Source organism: Homo sapiens, chromosome 3 (genome assembly GCF_000001405.40).
Source record: "Homo sapiens chromosome 3, GRCh38.p14 Primary Assembly".
NCBI lineage: Eukaryota > Metazoa > Chordata > Mammalia > Primates > Hominidae > Homo > Homo sapiens.
This window is the reverse complement of record NC_000003.12, coordinates 25,718,687-25,736,695: the sequence shown is the minus strand read 5'-3', so window position 1 is coordinate 25,736,695 and position 18,009 is coordinate 25,718,687. Positions and strand designations below refer to the sequence as shown.

Here is an 18,009-nt window from a genome sequence, read left to right as displayed (position 1 = left end):
TTTGTGTTGTCCCTATTTAGAAATAACTTGTGTGGTCTACATGTTAAAAAGTTGTTTTCCTTGTGTTTCCATTTTCTAAAGAATTAAATGAAACCTTCCATTAATAGTTAGTGTTCTCTTAAAATCAAATATAAAGCATGTATTGACCAGAGATTCTATTAGACTTCCTGCTGGTTCTGGGCCTTAAAGTCCAGAGAGAGAGACTGTAGTTTCAAAAGTGGCATTAACTCCTTCATGATAGTAAACTCAGGATGATATTTTTTATGCTGCTCTTTAATATGTCTACCTTCTTAAGAGTTACAGCGCACATTAAGCCTAAAACTGACCACGTTAAAGGAGATTGGAAAAACATTTTTAAGGATTTCAAAGAGACAGAAATTAATACAGGTATTCTAAAATCCTGTGTGCCACAAAATGCACTTATTAACTGAAATTCAGAATATTATGCATTACTTTATGATTCTTAGGAGTTTGTGTATAGTTATTGAAAGTCATTCTGATTTCATTGTCTTTTTTCCATTGCTCTCTTTTCTCTTACTTGAGTAGACCATGTCTGGACAGAAGTCTATTCTCCTTCTCAGCAGCGGTGGCTGCACTGTGATGCATGTGAAGATGTCTGTGACAAGCCACTCCTTTATGAAATAGGATGGGGCAAGAAGCTTTCCTATGTCATAGCATTTTCAAAAGATGAGGTAGAGCATAAAAGAAAAAAACTTTTTTCCAAAAGTAAAATATATTTTTTTCTTTTATGACAGCTTCATGAATGTATAATTAACATACAATAACCTGCATATATTTAAATTGTACAGTTTGATAAGTTTTATTTGTATACACTGAAATCATCACTGCAAATCAGTATTCATTGTATGGATGTGCCATAGTTTACCATTTCACCTGTTGATGGCTATTTGGGTAGTTCCCAGTTTTTTTCACAATTTCAAATTAAGCTGCCATGAACACTCAGGCACACAAGTCTTTATATGGGCATATGCTGCCTTTTCTCTTTGCTTAATGCCTAGGAGTAGAATGGCTGCATTATATGGTAGATATACATACAACTTTTTAAGAAACCACTAAACTATTTTCCAACGTGGTTGTGCCATTTTACATTTTCGCAAGCAGTATGTAAGTTTCCAGTTTCTCCATGTCCTTGCTAACATTTAGTATGATCTGACTTTTTAATTTTATCCCCTTTAATAGGTGTGTAGTGGCATTTCATTATGGTTTTTATTTGTACTTCCCTAATGACAAATAATACTGAGCATCTTTTTATGTGTTTGCTTACCATCCATATGTCCCCTTTGCTTATTTTTTTTAATTGGGTATTGTGTTTTCTTACTGTTTGGTTTTGAGAGTTCTTTATATATTCTTATATAAGTCCATTATCAGATATGTGCTTTGCAAAGATTTTTCTCCCTATCTGTAGTTTGTCTTTTTATGCTCTTAATGATTTTTGAAGAGAAGAAACTGGCGTTCAGTTTACCAATTGGTTGTTTTATGGATTGTGCTTTTTGATGTTATATTTAAGAAATTTTGCCTAGCCCTTGGTCACAATGATTTTCTCCTATGTTTTGTTTTAGAAGTTTTTTTTGGTTTTATGCTTATGTCTGCAATCCATTTTGAGTTAATTTTTTTATATGATCCAAGGTGTATGAAGTTTTTTTTTACATATGGATAATGAATTGTTCTAGCACCATTTATTGAAAAGATTATTTTTTCTCCATTGAATTGTCTTTCCACTTGTATCAAAAATCAGTTCTGTAATATAAATCTAATACAATAAAAATGGATAAAATTTTTATTTGTTGAATTTTGTGGAATCAGCTTTGCAGATAAATTTTAAAAAGGTAATGTTTTGAAATTTTCACTTTTTTATCATAGCGTTTCTGGTTAAACTATCAACTGTTTAGGAATGAATAAGTGACGTATTCTCTTCCGTTTATTTTATAGGCTTTTACGTTTTATTTTATTTTATTTTAATTTTTCGAGACAGTCTCACCCTCTTGCCCAGGCTGGAGTGCAGTTGCATGATCCCAGCTCACTGCAACCTCTGCCTCCCAAGTTCAAGCGATTCTCCTGCCTCAGCCTCCTGAGTAACTGGGATTACAAGCACATGCCACCACACCTGGCTAATTTTTTTTGTTTGTTTTTTTTCAGTAGAGACGGGGTTTCACCATGTTGGCCAGGCTGGTCTCCAACTCCTGACCTCAGGTGATCTGCTCACCTCAGCCTCCCAAAGTGCTGAGATTACAGGCATGAGCCACTGCACCAGGCCCCATGACTTTTAAATTTTAAACAAAGGATAGTATTCTAAAAATTGCATTTAAGGCTGGGCGTGGTGGCTCATGCTTATAATCCCAGCACTTTGGGAGGCCAAGGTGGGTGGATCACCTGAGGTCAGGAGTTCGAGACCAGCCTAGCCAACATGGTGAAACCCCATCTCTACTTAAAACAATACAAAAATCAGCCAGGCGTGATGGTGCATGCCTATAGTCCCAGCTACTCAGGAGGCTGAGATACGAGAATCTCTTGACCCTGGGAAGTGAGACTGCAGTGAGCTGAGATCACGCCACTGCACTCTAGCCTGGACAACAGAGCGAGACTTCGTCTCCAAAAAAATGCATTTAAAAATTACATACATTCTAGGTATTTAGTAAGTAAAGGTTGATGGTTGTAATCTTGTTAAGTATTTGTATTCTGTTATTTGTTTCAGGTAGTTGATGTCACTTGGCGATATTCCTGCAAACATGAAGAGGTGATTGCCAGAAGAACTAAGGTTAAAGAAGCATTACTTCGAGACACTATTAATGGGCTTAATAAGCAGGTATGGTGTGGCTATCTTTTTTGAAAGAACAGTTGACATTTTTTATGTAATCGAGAATAGCCGTTTATTAGCCTATTGAAATTCTTAAAGTAGTAGCATTGTTTTATAAACAAGAATATTTTAATATTCTTTTTGAATATTAAAGAATAAAAATATTCTTTTTGTTCATTGAAAATTTTGCGGACTCATTTTAAATATTATGAGTTATTTTGGATTAAACTGTCTCATTTCAAAGTTCTTTGAAACAAAATTTCAGTATTGGTAGTACCTGACAAAAAATGTGTTGTCTTATTTATCAGTGTAACTGTGCCTTGGATATGACACAGACTCATATTTATGTATTATGTATGTACATACACACACACACACACACACACACACACACACACACACACACACACACACGTCCATGTGAGGAAATTTCTGAAGCAAGGCACAGGAAGTTATTAACAATGACTACTTCTGAGAGGAGGAACTGGAGTTCCAAGATGAAAGGTTCAATTTTTGTTTTATACCCCTTTGATAGTATTGAAATTTTTAACTCTATACATGTGGGTTTTTTTCATAAATTAAAAAATAAGCAGTGAATTTTGCTGTAGCAGGCAGTTAGAACAGGGCAGAGCACATTAATCCAATCAGTGATAATGATTCCAGGTGAGGTTTCAGTCTATTTTGAATCTGCACTTACTCCTGATGTGTAGCCCTTCGGAGATCTCTACCTGAAAACCTGGATTATTTGCTAGATCCCCTTGCATTAGAACACTCTGACCCTCAGTTTATTTTTACCCCAGCACTGTGATTCTGCTAAAAATTCTGCTTTGATTTCCAGCACTTTAGTCACTATTTTGTCCTTGGCTTCTCAGCCTCTTCTCATGCCACTTAATAATTGACAAATGACTGGAAGGGAAAAGAGGTGCAGTATGTGCCCTTCACCTCAATTCTTTTCTTCTCTTGGAATCTTGACTTCTCAAGTTCTGGCTGCCTTTACAGCTTTCTGTTGCACTCAAACAGGTGTTTATATGTGAGTGTTCTGTTTGTGTGTTTCCACTAGCTTTTCTAGCTTTTCTCAGTAAGACATTCTGACACAAGCCAGTCTATCATATCCAGAAACAGAAGTTGCTACCTTCATTATAAATAAATCTAGGACAGTAGAGCTCATGGAGAGTTGGAAATAGGTGTTAAATGATTTCCCAACATAAAATTTATAAAATTATTTAAGTTTTCCACAGTGTCCTTTTTATTTTCTGAATAATATATGTTTGAAAATAAAATTCAGTACTTGTTTCAAGACCTCTTAAAATGCAAGTGTTTTAAGTATATTCTTGCTTAGAGATGGACCTATACATTCCCCTAATCTTAACAACTTTTTTAAAAAACATGAATTACAGAGGCAACTGTTTTTGTCAGAAAACAGAAGGAAAGAACTTCTCCAGAGGATAATTGTGGAGCTTGTTGAATTTATATCTCCCAAAACCCCTAAACCTGGAGAACTTGGGGGAAGAATATCTGGGTCAGTGGCTTGGAGAGTAGCCCGAGGTGAAATGGGTCTACAGGTATTTAATTCATTCTAGCATGATGATCCTTTTACTTTCCTGCTTCATATACTATGCTCTTCCTATACTATCCTCCAACTGCATTGACTATGACCTTTCAGTTAACTTGAGAGTAATTATTTTAAAATGCAAACATTTGAAGAGAACCAGTAATTGATTTACATAGCATTATCGTGTAAGAGTTAGCAAAGCATTTTTAAAATGGGACTTAAAATTTTTTTTACCTTATGTAAATTTTTAGTGCAGTGTAACTTTTACTGAAGAATATACAGGAAAATGCACAAATTATAAATGTACAGCTTAATGAATGTTTACAAATTTAACACCCATGTAATCGCCAACCAGAATAAGAAATAGATCACTGGAACCGTAGAAACAAGCGTGAGTTTCTTTCCCCACTGCCTTACACCCTCGAAAGTAATCATTATTCTGGCTTCTAACATCATATATTAGTTTTGCCTGTTATTGTGCTTTATAAAATGGAATCATATAGCATGTACTGTTTTGTATATAGCTTGTTTTGTGTAACTTTGTGTCAGTGAGATACATGTTGCAACGTGTATGGTATGTTCTCATTGCTGTATAATTTATTGTATGAATGTAATTTTTCACTGTTGATGGCTATTTGGGTTATTTCTAGTTTTGGCTGATATAAATGGTGCTGCTCTGAACATTTATATTCACGTTTTCAGTGAATATGTTTAGGCATTTTGTTGGATGTATACCTAGGAGTGGAATTGCTAGGTAATAGAGTATGAGTATATTCAGCTTTAGTACATATTGCCAAACAGTTTTTCAAAATGGTTATGCCAGCTTATACTCTCACCAGCAGTATATGAAGTTTTTCGACATCTTTGTGTACACTTGGTATTGTCTATCTTTTCATTTTAGCAGTTCTGGTGGCGTATAGTAGTATCGTGATTTTAATTTGCATTTTGGTGATGACTAATTATGGTGAATGCCTGTTCTTTAAACTTTTGGATATCCTCATTCTCTTTTGTGAAGTGCTTATTTAGGTCTTTTAAAATGAGATTCTAATGCATTTAAAAGAATGCTGTTTTACGTTTTTCCTCTCCAGATGAAAACTTTATGGAGTGGAGAAAATACAGAATTTGGGGAATTCAGCTGATGAAAGTGTTTATTTCTTGGTATATGCTTGCATATATCTGATATTGGCTAGAAATTGTTGGTGGCATGATTACTGTTATATTAAAATTTATTTTAAGATACCACATGATTAATCTTCCAAAATTAAATAACAATGGAAATATAATTTCCATAGGTAGGTCCTAAAGTTAAGGGACTAGGTAAAAATCAGTGTGCTAGGCTTTGTAACAGGCATTAGGGCAGTATAATAGACTGTCCTTTGCCCTTAGGGAGCTAAAGTTGAGTCACTGGAGAGCATTTAATAAAATGTTTAGGAAATATGCAATGAAAAATGCTTGAAAGAAAAATAACTCATCACAATATCAGTATCAAGCAGTTCCAAACAAATTAAAGTTGTATTTATCTACTTTTTCTAAATTTGCCATTGTTACAGTTCATTTCTCTAGTAACAGAATATGTTTTAAAGGAGTGAATTATCACTAATAAATTTTATGTTTGCTTTTTAATTTATCCCATCGTCTGTAGCGGGCAGTTAAAAGTGTTGGTTCAGCCATAGGATTACAAGATCCAAATTCAACAAATAATTCAAATCACTGCCAATGCAGTGTGTTACAAGTATAAATCTAAATACAGCCAGTTAAAAAGAGCTAATTTAATTCGCAGCTGTGTTCAATTTAAAACATGGATATTATTTAGGTCTTCATTTCTTTTTATGCATGGGTGTGCTATCTCTTGCATGGCATGGAAGTTGATTAACTTTAAAAATATGAATTGGGTTGCATACCACATTGTTTTCCCTTTTGAAATTTTTTTTAAGTTTCTTAATTGCTGGAGACCATTTTAGGGCCATGGATTTAAAAAGAAATCATTTTTTCCTTTAGAAATGGATGTTTGTTTTAAAAGTAAATAGAAAAACATTAATCCTAAATACTTTTGGAATTAATCTTGCAATCAATTGGAAACAGAAGAAACATTGGTACTATCATTTCCAGAAAGAAAAGTTTTATTTTAATCTTAGAATTAAAATATTTTATAAAATATTAATGTTATTTTGGACTAGAATGCAAAGATTGCCTGGGATTTTAAGGTTAAAATACAAGCTTTTGTAATAATTTTACACATGCAGAAGACTGTTTCATGCTATACCTCTCAGCTGCTCTCCTAGCTTAGGGAACTAGGAAAGGACACTGAGGAAATGGTTGAGGACTCAGGATGAGAAAGAATCCAGTATGTGGAGAGTAGAAAACAGCATCCTAGACAAAGTAAGCAGCATGTGTCAAAGCCGTGAGGCAAAATGAGCTGGACCTTTTTGAGGAACTAAAGGAAAAGTAATGTGATGTGAGTGTAGAAATGAAAGGGAAGAGTAACAGAAGATCTGGCTGGAGAAGCAAGCAGGGTGAACCATCACATAAGGCCCTGGTAGCCGTGGTAAAGAGCTTGGAGTTTAAGTCACTGAAGTGAGTTAAGCAGGAAAGTGACATATCCTAGTTTACATTTTTTGAAAAGTCATTTTCATTGCTATGTGGAGCATGGATAGGAGAGGTAAGAGTTGAAAGCTGGGAGTCAGCTTCAGGAGACAATTGTAGAAGTCCAAGTAGGGGGATAGTGGTGGTGGTAGAAAAGAATAAAAATTAATGAATTCATTGAATGCAAAATCACAAAAATATAAGTCAGAGCTCATACTTCTTGTTTTTCTCTCTAGTAATGTTTAGAGTTATAATAACATCATACTGATTATATTTAATTTATAAAATAATTTCCAAATTTTCCAATGGCACTAATTTTTTCTTTTCAATTTTGAAGGATTCTCTTACCACTCTGCTTAGTAATTTCTCTTTTTTCTTTTTTACATCTTTCATAATGTTGAAAAACTAATTCTGCTTTCTTTTTAAGAGAAAAGAAACCTTGTTTATTCCCTGTGAAAATGAGAAGATTTCTAAACAGCTCCACCTTTGTTACAATATTGTGAAAGATCGTTATGTTCGAGTTTCAAATAACAATCAAACCATTTCTGGATGGGAGAATGGCGTGTGGAAAATGGAATCTATATTCAGAAAAGTTGAAACAGACTGGCACATGGTAACTTAATGCATAAAACCATTTAAAACTTTTGTCATTGTTTAAACAAATATAGATTGGCTTCATTTTTCAGTTGTGTAAAATATGAAAACTGATATATCAAACTTATTTTCAGTAATCCTATAACCTGGAAAAGAAAATTCTGTCCCCAATATGTAATCAAAAGTCCACTAGAAATTCTTGCATTTATATCAAGGAAGTATCTGTTTTCATCAAAGAGGATGAATTTAATTCTTTCATGGGAAAAAATAATCAAATGTATGATCAATCCATATGACTGATTTTTGCATGAACATATATACATATATATTCTATTTGATACTGTATATATAAATACATTATATTGTGAATTAATTCCTTCACAGATGTGTATTGATTGCCCATTAAATACAGGCTATTTAGGGAGTATAATAGATTTAGTTCAAAGTTTCAGAAAGCTAAACATCTAACAGGCATTCACTTCAAAGAATGTGGATGATTGAGCAGCAATATTGGTTATTTCTTCTCTGTATCTTAAAAAAATAATTAAGTAGAGGTTAGGACTATAGCAGTTCATTTATACCAAGTTGCATATTATCGTCACATGCTATCAGTAACAAATAAGAGGCTTTGCTTTAAAACTGCCTGCTCCTTAGAAACACACCAAAATAAACTTAAAGCTATTCACATGACCTCAGTAGATCTGATCATATTCTTGATAGATTTTCATAGGAATTAATTAACTTATAGGAAGCTTTTAAAGTTAATTTACCAAGATACTTGAGTGGGAACTTGTTCACTTGTAAAATATATTGGATAGATTAAAAAAGTGAGTCACATATAAACAGCTGCTAGTGTTTATGAGCATCTGTTACATGCTGTCACTGTACTAGGCATTAATCAAATTACCAAAAACATACAGAGATAAGGTCTCTGCTTTTCTCTTTTTCAATCATAAGTTTTTGTTCAAAAACTTATCTTGCTGCTTAAACATAGAAATACTCCATTTATATCACATTGTCTAATACTAAAAAAGTTGAGGTATTTTTGTATTAGTAACTTACAGGATTATTCTAAATTTTGGAATTTTCTTCTTTAGCTAAAGAAATGCATAAAAATAGAGATAAAATTTAAAATTTCGAGATACCTGTAATTAGTTGTACAGTTGATGAGAGAGGATGAACATCTTCTAGAAGACTATCCTTAGCCTAAGAATTTCTCTGAACAGAAAGCAAGATAGAATAAAAGGGTTTTTTATCGAATGACTAGTCTATACTTGCTAAAATGGAGAAAAATCATGTGTTTCCTCCTAACCAGCAATGTTAGTAAAGTAGTAATGATGGGGAAAATAGTGATGTGTTACAGAAGATGTGATATGCCAAGAAACAGAACTACTGTATGGAGTATTTCTTCTTTGTCTTATACACTCATTTGTTCATCAGCAAACTTGTACTGTTGTGCCAGGCATTATTCTCAGCTACGTAAACAAAAAGATGATTCCTGACCTCACGATCTAAAAGGGGAAGCCAAAGCATAAACCGCCATCTTAACCATGATGCAGAGTGCTATAATAAGGATATCAACACATTGCTATGGAAACAGTGAGGTGGGAGTAATTAGCTTTGGCTGTAGGAGTTGGGCAAAGCTCCACTGAGCAGACGACATTTGAGCTGGACACTGGAGGTTGAGTAGGTGTTTATCAGGCAAGGAAACAAAAAGGCATGGAGTACGTGGCGTATTTCAAGATCTCCAAATAGAACATTTTAGCCAGAGAGGGGCTATAGTGTGAGAAAGATTTAAATAATGTAAATGATAGACAAAGGCCATTAAATAGAAAACACACCCCTATTCAAGTAAAGCTTATGCCTTGATATACTTTTATGAAGGGTACCATTTTTTTTAAGTTGAGTGAATTTCTTTCTAGCTACATGTATTTAGTATCAAATGAAGAAAAATACTAGAATCTTTACTTGTAGAGAGTGATAACTCGGAAGTAACAATTGTCGTTATAACTTAAGTATTCCATCTAAATCAGTATTTCTGGTTCTGTACTAGCATGCCCCCAGTTAGGGATTTTCTAGCTCTGTTGAATAGTAAACCTATTTCTCACTACCGTTTTTCTCAGTAATCTCCAACCAGGTATCATGACAGATCACATGCAGCCTGCTTTCAGAGTTTTAGAACAGATTCTTTACCTCTCAAAGAGGTATCCTCCCAGGAGCACAAAGATTAAAATTTGCTATTTAGCAAATAACATTGTTCAGTAATGTCTGAATTGAAAAGCATATAAAAACTAAATCAAGAAGACCAGTACGCTTTTTGGGAGGCAAGTGATAACACCTTGATAAAAGCAGTATTAATAGCTTCCTAACTAATCTCCCTCTGTCCTAATCCTTTCAAAGCTGTGATCCATGCTCTCGCTAAAGAAACATTTACAAAAACTTAATCCTTAACTGAGTGCTCTTAGAGTAAGACATAGCTCCACGTCTTTTCCAAATCTGGTCCTTGCCTTCTTCTCTGGCTTTGCCTTGCACTGTGCTACCCCTTGCTCTCTGCATTGCAGATATATTGTCCCTTCTCCCTTCTTCACAGAACCTCCTATACTTCTCTTTTTTGATTAATTTATTCTTAACCTTACCACTTGGCCCAAGCCTCACTCCCTCAGGTCCCAGCAAATTGAATCCATTTCCCTCTTTATAGATTCATTGTACCATATACCTCTCTTTCATGACATGTATTCAACAAATAGAAATGAAAATAAATTATTTGTCTCTCTCTAATAATGTTTACATTAGATTGTAAACAATTCTTAGGGAGAGACCTTGTCTTTTTCTACTCACTTTTGTACTCTCAGTATTCATATATCTGGCATAGTACCCGATACATAGTAAGTGTTTAGTAAAGATTGGTGAATGTAAAAATGTACGTGGCATAAATTCTGCATCACCCTAGGGCTATGTAGAGCACTGTAAGAACCTCACTTTGTTGAGTGTCCTTTGGATGGTCTTAGATACTTTTTGGTTTTGATGAGTTTTATCCCTCTCTTTGTCACTACAGTCATTTTAGCATTTTGGCGGGGTGAGGGGGCGGGTGCATGGCATTATGTCAAGAATTCATTCAGCACTCAGCAAATATGCACATTGTCAAATATTGTGCTTGGCAGTCTGATGTAATGGTGAATTAAGAGGCAAGCCTCAAGGTGCGTATCAGCTGGTAAAGTGAAAGACATGTGGGTCAACTGTTTAGATTAATGGGGGTAAATGGTAGAAGAGTATGTGTTTGTTTATGATACTGAGAGAAAGAAGACAGAAACAAGAGCCACTAACACCCTGAATCTGAGTGAAAAAAACCTCATACTCCAAGTATTTTGTTTTGTTTTGTTCACTCTACAAGTATTTTTTTTTTTCTGTTCTCTCTACAACAATCAACTCAGACCTCTGACCAAATATGTGGAGGGGTGGGTTCCCCCAAATAAGCAAGCAAGCAATTCTGCAGCAGAACCAGCTGAGTGACCTCTAATCCAATCAATTCTAACATGATCTTCCTGGAGATAACATTAGATACCAAATGTTGAGGGTTTAGTCCCCAAGACTCTCCCCTCCCCACTTCAGATGCCAATCACAAGCTCCAGTTTGTTTTACCTGTGCTTCTGACCAACTGGCTATAAATCAGGTTCCTATGACTCTCTCCTTGGAGTCAGTTAATTTGCTAGAGTGACTCATAGAACTCAGGGAAACACGTTTACTGGTTTATTATAAAGAATATTACAAAGGATGCAGATGAAGAGATGCACAGGGCAAGGTATAGGAAGGCACATGGAGCCCCTCTGCCCTCCCCGGGTGTGCCACCCTCCAGGAACCTCCATGTGATCAGCTCTCCAGAAGTTCTCCAAACCCTGTCCTGATAGGCCTTTTATGGAGACTTCATTGGATTTTCATAACCATGACAACAATGTAGAAATATGATTGGACAAAAAGGGTGTGATCTGATACTAATAGCCTGACAAAACCCAGCAAAGCCTGTCTGTTCAGATTCTTCTTGGTCTCTCTGTGCAGCATTTCTACCTCCAGGGTATGGAACAGGACATTTTCTGAAATAGGGGTTTTATGACCCATAATCAGACAAGGTAGGTCAGATAAATTATTTATGGTCAGCTCCAAGAAAGCAAGTTGTGGGGAGATTAGAGTATATTTTTAGTTTCCATAGCCTGCCTTAGAAATAATAAAGGCTATGGGAGTTATGAGCCAGGAACCATGAATGAAAATCTGGAGGTATATATACACATATCATAATATCACACTGAGTCAGAGAAGGCCTTGCAGAAGAAGTAATATCTGAGTTGGCTTTTGGAGAGGAGGAAGAGGGAAAGTTTCTTAGTATGAGGACAGGATATGGAAGGGGAGGTTGTTTGGGGACATGAGAAATAGTGTCTTCAAAAGCACTGAGGTGAGAGACATCTGGTATATTCAGGAAAAAGTGAGAAGTAGAGAATATGGAGGAGAATAGTGAGAAATGAGACTAGAGAGGTAAATAATTGTCAGGTCCCAGAGACTTTGATTACCTTGCAATTATGTAATAGGCAACCATGAAAGTTTCCTATTACAAATGGAGTAAATTGGAAGTATACATGGAAATCTTAAAAATTCTTATCCAAATTCTACAAATGGAATAAATTGGAAGTATACACAGAAATATTTACAGTGGGAACTACAAGTGGATTCATGTTTGATTTTCAACATAAAATGGAATAACCAAAAACAAGACTCATTGCAAGTACCGGTTTACCAGCAACAATTTGAGATTCCTTGAAATACAGCTGCTTTGCTGGGTATCTGTGGGAATGACGGACTTCAGGGTGCTTGCTGTATGGTGAACTGAACTTGAGTGAATCTTAGCAGCCTCAGTAGAACAATAATTTTAAGAGTGTATTAAAGAAGAGCTTCAAACAATATAGTCCAAACTGAACCTCTAGGGAGCCATAGCAGCCTGACATGTAGTAATCAAAAAATCTTTGAGCAAAATCTTCTGTAGAATATTAGTTACATAAAGCCAACATGCAAATTGTTCTCAGTCCTGAAAATAGTGGTTACAGCCACAACCTAAAGACAAGTTCTATTTTTATATATTGTGAATAGTATGGCTTATGCCTAAACCGTAGACACACAGGTCTTGTTCTCACGCAAAGGGTGTATATGCTCATATGTGCTTACAACAAGGAGCAAGGATGGGTCACTGGTGGGAGGAGGGGTTGGGTGGTATATATAGAATACAGGAGAAAACCTCCATGATTTCTGACTTTACTAGCACTCCTGCTAAAGTAGGATAGCAACACTCACCTTTTAGAGACCTACACATTACAAAACCGAGCTTACAGAATGCACACAATAAATTTAAAAAAAATTTTTTAAAGCCAACAGGCAAAAATATGTCTATCAAATAACTCACGATGTTAGGAACAATCAACAGTTGTAAAAAAAATTTTTTTTCTCTACACTAAACAAGTGAATGTTTGCTTTTTTTTTTCCTTTTAAATAAATTATAGTTACTGATTGTGTTCATATTATACATAGTGGGATCAGAGTTGGAGGTTTTTTATAAATTCTATTGTTGTGGTACATTTTAATTTACTAAACTGAGTATACATATTCTTGGTAACTTTCTACCACCTCTAAAAATGAGTCTTTGACAGAATATATTGTGCAAAAAAAGATGATAGGAATTTTCTGTATAAATAGGGTGTTTTATCTCCATATACTGTTCTTTAACATAAGAGACCTTTTTTATTTTGCTCATAGTATGTTTGAATGTTTAAACATTTAAGTATTAAATCATGAACTCTATCTTATTCTTTAACTTTCTAGAGTCTTAAAAGCTGATGATGCCTTTAGGACTGAAAATTTTAAGGCTTTAATAAATGCTGTCAGACATGTTCAACAGCTACTATAAACCTTCTCTTAAACAGTTAAAACCACAGTTCTGACCCAGACCCACACAATATAATTAAGGCAGTTATTGGAGTAAGCTAGATTTGAAGTTAACGTAATTTCAGCCTATCATATTTTATACCCACACTTTTGAGGGACATTTGAATCTAGTGAGCTCTGAAAATATACAAGATATAGAAGTGCATATTGAGAGATAAATTTGAGTATATCTGTTAATGTTTATGTCTTAAGATTACTTTCCTTAAGTCTTTTAGTTCTTTTAATTCACCTTTCTTCCAGTAACCTCTCTGTTTGGCTCTTCTTTCCCAGATATCCCCCTTTGCTAGCCATTCCTTTAAAGGAGCAGTTAACCTGTGTGTAACCCAGATGCCTAATAGTTTAGGATGGGTGAAACTAATGACTCCCGGGGAACACTGGTGGAGTCCTGAGTCCCACATCCTCCTTACAAGCGGCTGTAAGAGGAGCATGCAGTAGGAACATATATGAACACCAGAGGATGTTATAGTGGCGTTGTCCAAACTTGAGTGGAGCAATTGACAGTTCCACATCTAGGTTTGTCAACAACAAATAACAGTTGGCTATACATATCTACTCTGAGTAGTTTAAGAACATTTTCTTTGGAGAGTGATTGTTCAGTTGTTACATAATCTCTAACTCACTGATTCTAAAAATTTTCAGATTAAATTAATGGGCATACCTGGAAGAAAAATAGCTATAGGTTGGTTGTCAAATAGATGGTGATTAGAATACTATTGGCGATTGATTTTTTTACTTGATATGAGTAAAGACCAGAATACAGAATAGTACATATAATAGGATATTCCATGGCAGATGTGTTTTATATGGTACTTTCAACTATTTGCCCCTGAGCTAGAGTATGAGTTAGATGTTTCTAAAAAGATCAAGTCTAACATGAATATATATATATATATATGTGTGTATACAGATCTTTAATAATATTTACTAAATGTTTTTATTTTTATTTTTTTTTTTAGACAGAGTCTCGCTCTGTCACCCGGGCTGGAGTGCAGTGGCACCATCCCGCTCACTGCAACCTCTGCCTCCCTAGTTCAAGCAATATTCATGTATCAGCCTCCCGAGTAGCTGGGATTACAAGTGTGCACTAACATGCCCGGCTAATTTTGGTATTTTTAGTAGAGATGGGGTTCCACCATGTTGGCTAGGCTGGTCTTGAACACCTAACCTCAAGTGATCCGACTGCCTCAGCCTCCCAAAGTGCTGGGATTACCGGTGTGAATGACTGTGCCCGGCACTAAATGCTTTTATGAATCCAGAAACTGTGCCCCCAGAGAGCTTATGATTTGATGAAGATAGGTCAGAGTATGGGCAGTATAAAGGAGTATAGTATAAAAAAATAAAAAGGAGCATTGGCAATTCAAGGTGGGATGAAATTGTGGAGGATTTTTTCTTTTCTTTTTTTTTTTTTTTTTTTTTTTTTTGAGATGGAGTCTTGCTCTGTCGCCCAGGCTGGAGTGCAATGGCGCAGTCTCGGCTCACTGCAAGCTCCGCCCCCCGGGTTCACACCATTCTCCTGCCTCAGCCTCCTGAATAGCTGGGACTACAGGCGCCTGCCACCACGCCCAGCTAATATTTTGTATTTTTAGTAGAGGCAGGGTTTCACTGTGTTAGGATGGTTTCGATCTCCTGACCTCGTGATCCACCTGCCTCAGCCTCCCAAAGTGCTGGGATTACAGGCGTGAGCCACCGTGCCCAGCCTAATTGTGGAGGATTTTTAAAGCTAATAGATTAGACTTAATGTAAGAACCAAGTACTTGCTGTACATTTCAGACCAGGCAGATAACATAAAGAGAGTGGGATTTTAAAACATTAATCTGATCAGAGCCAGGCACGGTAGCTCACACCTACAATCTCAGCAACTCAGGAGACTGAGGCAGGCGTTCAAGACCAGCCTGGGCAACATAGTGAGACCCTGCCTCTAAAAAATTTTTTTAAATTAGCCAGGCATGGTAGTTGGAGGCTGAGACAACAGGGTCATTTGAACCCAGGAGTTCAAGGCTTCAGTGAGCTATGATTGCACCACTGCATTCCAGCCTGGGTGACAGAGTGAGACCCTGTGTCTAAAATAATACACTTGAAAATAAAAATATGGTCAGAGCAATTGGAATTGTACAACAGTAGTCAATTGCATTAAGATAAGTGTAAAGTTCAAACTGTAGTAGTAAGTGCAGTATTAGTGAGGAAGGGGTTTCTTTCCAAGATTTCAAACAAATACATAGAATTTTGTGGGAATTCAGACGTAAGGGATGAACGACTGAAGCGTCAGAGTCTTAAGAGTTTGAGCATGGTTGAATAGAGTGACCTGTGAAAGACCAAGGCTGTGGATGTCAGTTTTCATGGCAATGTTTTGAGGAGTGTAGATAAAAGTATGAGAGGGGATGAGCTGGAAGCAGCCAGTAGGCTTAGATGCCTTAAATAGTATACATTTAATGTGCTAAAGGGCGTTGATGAAGGAACAGGGAGCATGCTATTTAGAGAAGTGAGCATGGATATCACCTTTTAAACCATTAGTTAGCAGTGGCTCAGGTATTTTCTCGATTTAGAGACTATAGCATACCATGTCACACTAGGAAAGCGTATATGAAAATCCAGACTTATAAAAATTAAAGAGTAGTTGCATTTAAAAGGATTCTTCATTTTCAGCAGGATTAGTCATAAAACTCATTTTAAAGAGTTGAACTTCTTAATATAAAAGAAGATGATTTACCAAAATTTGGTTAGAATGCAGTCCTTTAGAATTGCACTTTTTGGGGACATCTGCATTCAAATAATACCTGTCTTCTAGGGTAAAAGATGCCATGGGAAAAATTGCCAAAAAAAATGTTAGCAGTAAGAACCTTTTCAACAGGGAAAAGTTAGTTTTTAAATAACCACTTGTACATACTACCCTGTGACAGTAATATTCTTCACTAAGTTTGTTTTCTATACTATTTCATTTTTTCTGACAGTTCCTTTCTCCCCATCCCTACTCCTTATAGGTATATTTGGCCCGAAAGGAAGGATCATCTTTTGCTTATATTTCCTGGAAGTTTGAGTGTGGGTCAGTTGGCCTAAAAGTAGATAGCATTTCTATTAGAACAAGTAGTCAAACTTTTCAGACTGGAACAGTAGAATGGAAATTGCGATCTGATACAGCACAAGTAGAACTGACAGGCGGTAAGCATTTGCCTGGAGAATTAATCACGAAATATATATTTACCACTCTGAAGACTAATTGTACTTATTTGAGATGTAGCTCTTTTTCGTACCTAAGAGTTATTAATACTATTTCAGTAAAAAAAAAAAAATTTAATAAACCCTGTGTGATCCCATTGTAACAGAAAGGCTGATGTTTTCTGTTGTGAAATACAAATGCAAGGAAAAAATCATTTCTTTGTTTCAAAGGATGCATTTCTTCCATAAAGAATAATTTGTATTTATTTTTAAGGGTTTATTTTAACTTATACATCAGCCTATATAAAATACATTTCAAAATGATCTGTGCTCTTTAAATTACCAAAAGCAAAATGTTAATTTTTTTTTTCCCTCTAACAGATAACAGTCTTCACTCCTATGCTGATTTTTCTGGTGCCACTGAAGTTATTTTGGAAGCAGAATTAAGCAGAGGAGATGGTGATGTCGCTTGGCAACACACCCAGCTGTTTAGACAAAGCTTAAATGACCATGAAGAAAATTGTTTGGAGATAATTATAAAATTCAGTGACCTTTGAGAACCTGAACATTATAGAAAAGCTGGCAATAATCAAGGACTTACTGAAGTAGTCTGTTGGTTCAGTGCATGCTTAGTTGGCAGTTACCACCCTGTGCTAGCATATTTCTTTTGCTAGCTATCCATCATGTAACCCTCATGAAAATTATCTTTATACGTGGACTATAATAAAATATTGAATTAAAACCTTTCTTCCATATGTGACTATAATTTGGAGTAAAGTCTTGTTGACTCAATATGGGATTTTAATCTAAAACTGTAAGTATGGTTTTAAAAGTTAAATAATGATATTCATGATTAAATGCTATTCATGATTATGATAAAATCTTGGGCTTATGATAGTAATTTGACATTTTCTGATCAGCCATTCATTTCTTCAGAAGTGGTTAAATTAGAGTCTCCTAATATTTTTAATTAATGTGAAAGTACAGTAGCTCATAAATTATATAATGCATGAAAATTTATATGATTATAAATATTCAGGCATTTAAGAAATAAAATGAAGTATTTTGCCTTACATCTTTTTAGTGGTTATTTTGGCTAAATAAAAATCTTTTTTCTAAACATTGAAAAATACTTGAATAGATATGAGTTATGAAAACATTTAACATTGACAACATAAACTAGGATACATTTTAAATTCCATAATACGTGGACATTTTGAAAATGCCTTACCTTTGAGTTATATTTTTATCTACCTCATTGAATAAAATATTCTTGATTTTGAAACTATGTAACTATATTATACAGTATCTATATGTTGTATCAAGAGGT

At 35.2% G+C, this 18,009-nt stretch overlaps 1 protein-coding gene across 13 annotated transcripts in view; it reads left to right on the top strand.

Moving 5' to 3' along the window:
- The window catches only part of NGLY1 (N-glycanase 1), a 71,096-nt gene extending 53,344 nt beyond the window's left edge, over positions 1-17,752 (top strand). For 3 of the 13 annotated variants that reach the window (NM_001145294.2, NM_018297.4, XM_011533944.1), the window contains exons 7-12: positions 547-692; positions 2,714-2,824; positions 4,213-4,377; positions 7,378-7,563; positions 16,505-16,682; positions 17,061-17,752. In NM_001145294.2, the coding sequence (NP_001138766.1) occupies positions 547-692; positions 2,714-2,824; positions 4,213-4,377; positions 7,378-7,563; positions 16,505-16,682; positions 17,061-17,236 (962 nt within the window). In that variant the 3' untranslated portion in view covers positions 17,237-17,752. Of the gene's footprint in view, positions 1-295; positions 388-546; positions 693-2,713; positions 2,825-4,212; positions 4,378-7,377; positions 7,564-13,796; positions 14,020-16,504; positions 16,683-17,060 lie in introns of those variants that run through there. The other 10 variants (NM_001145293.2, XM_005265316.1, NM_001145295.2 and 7 more) reach the window with 10 other exon arrangements.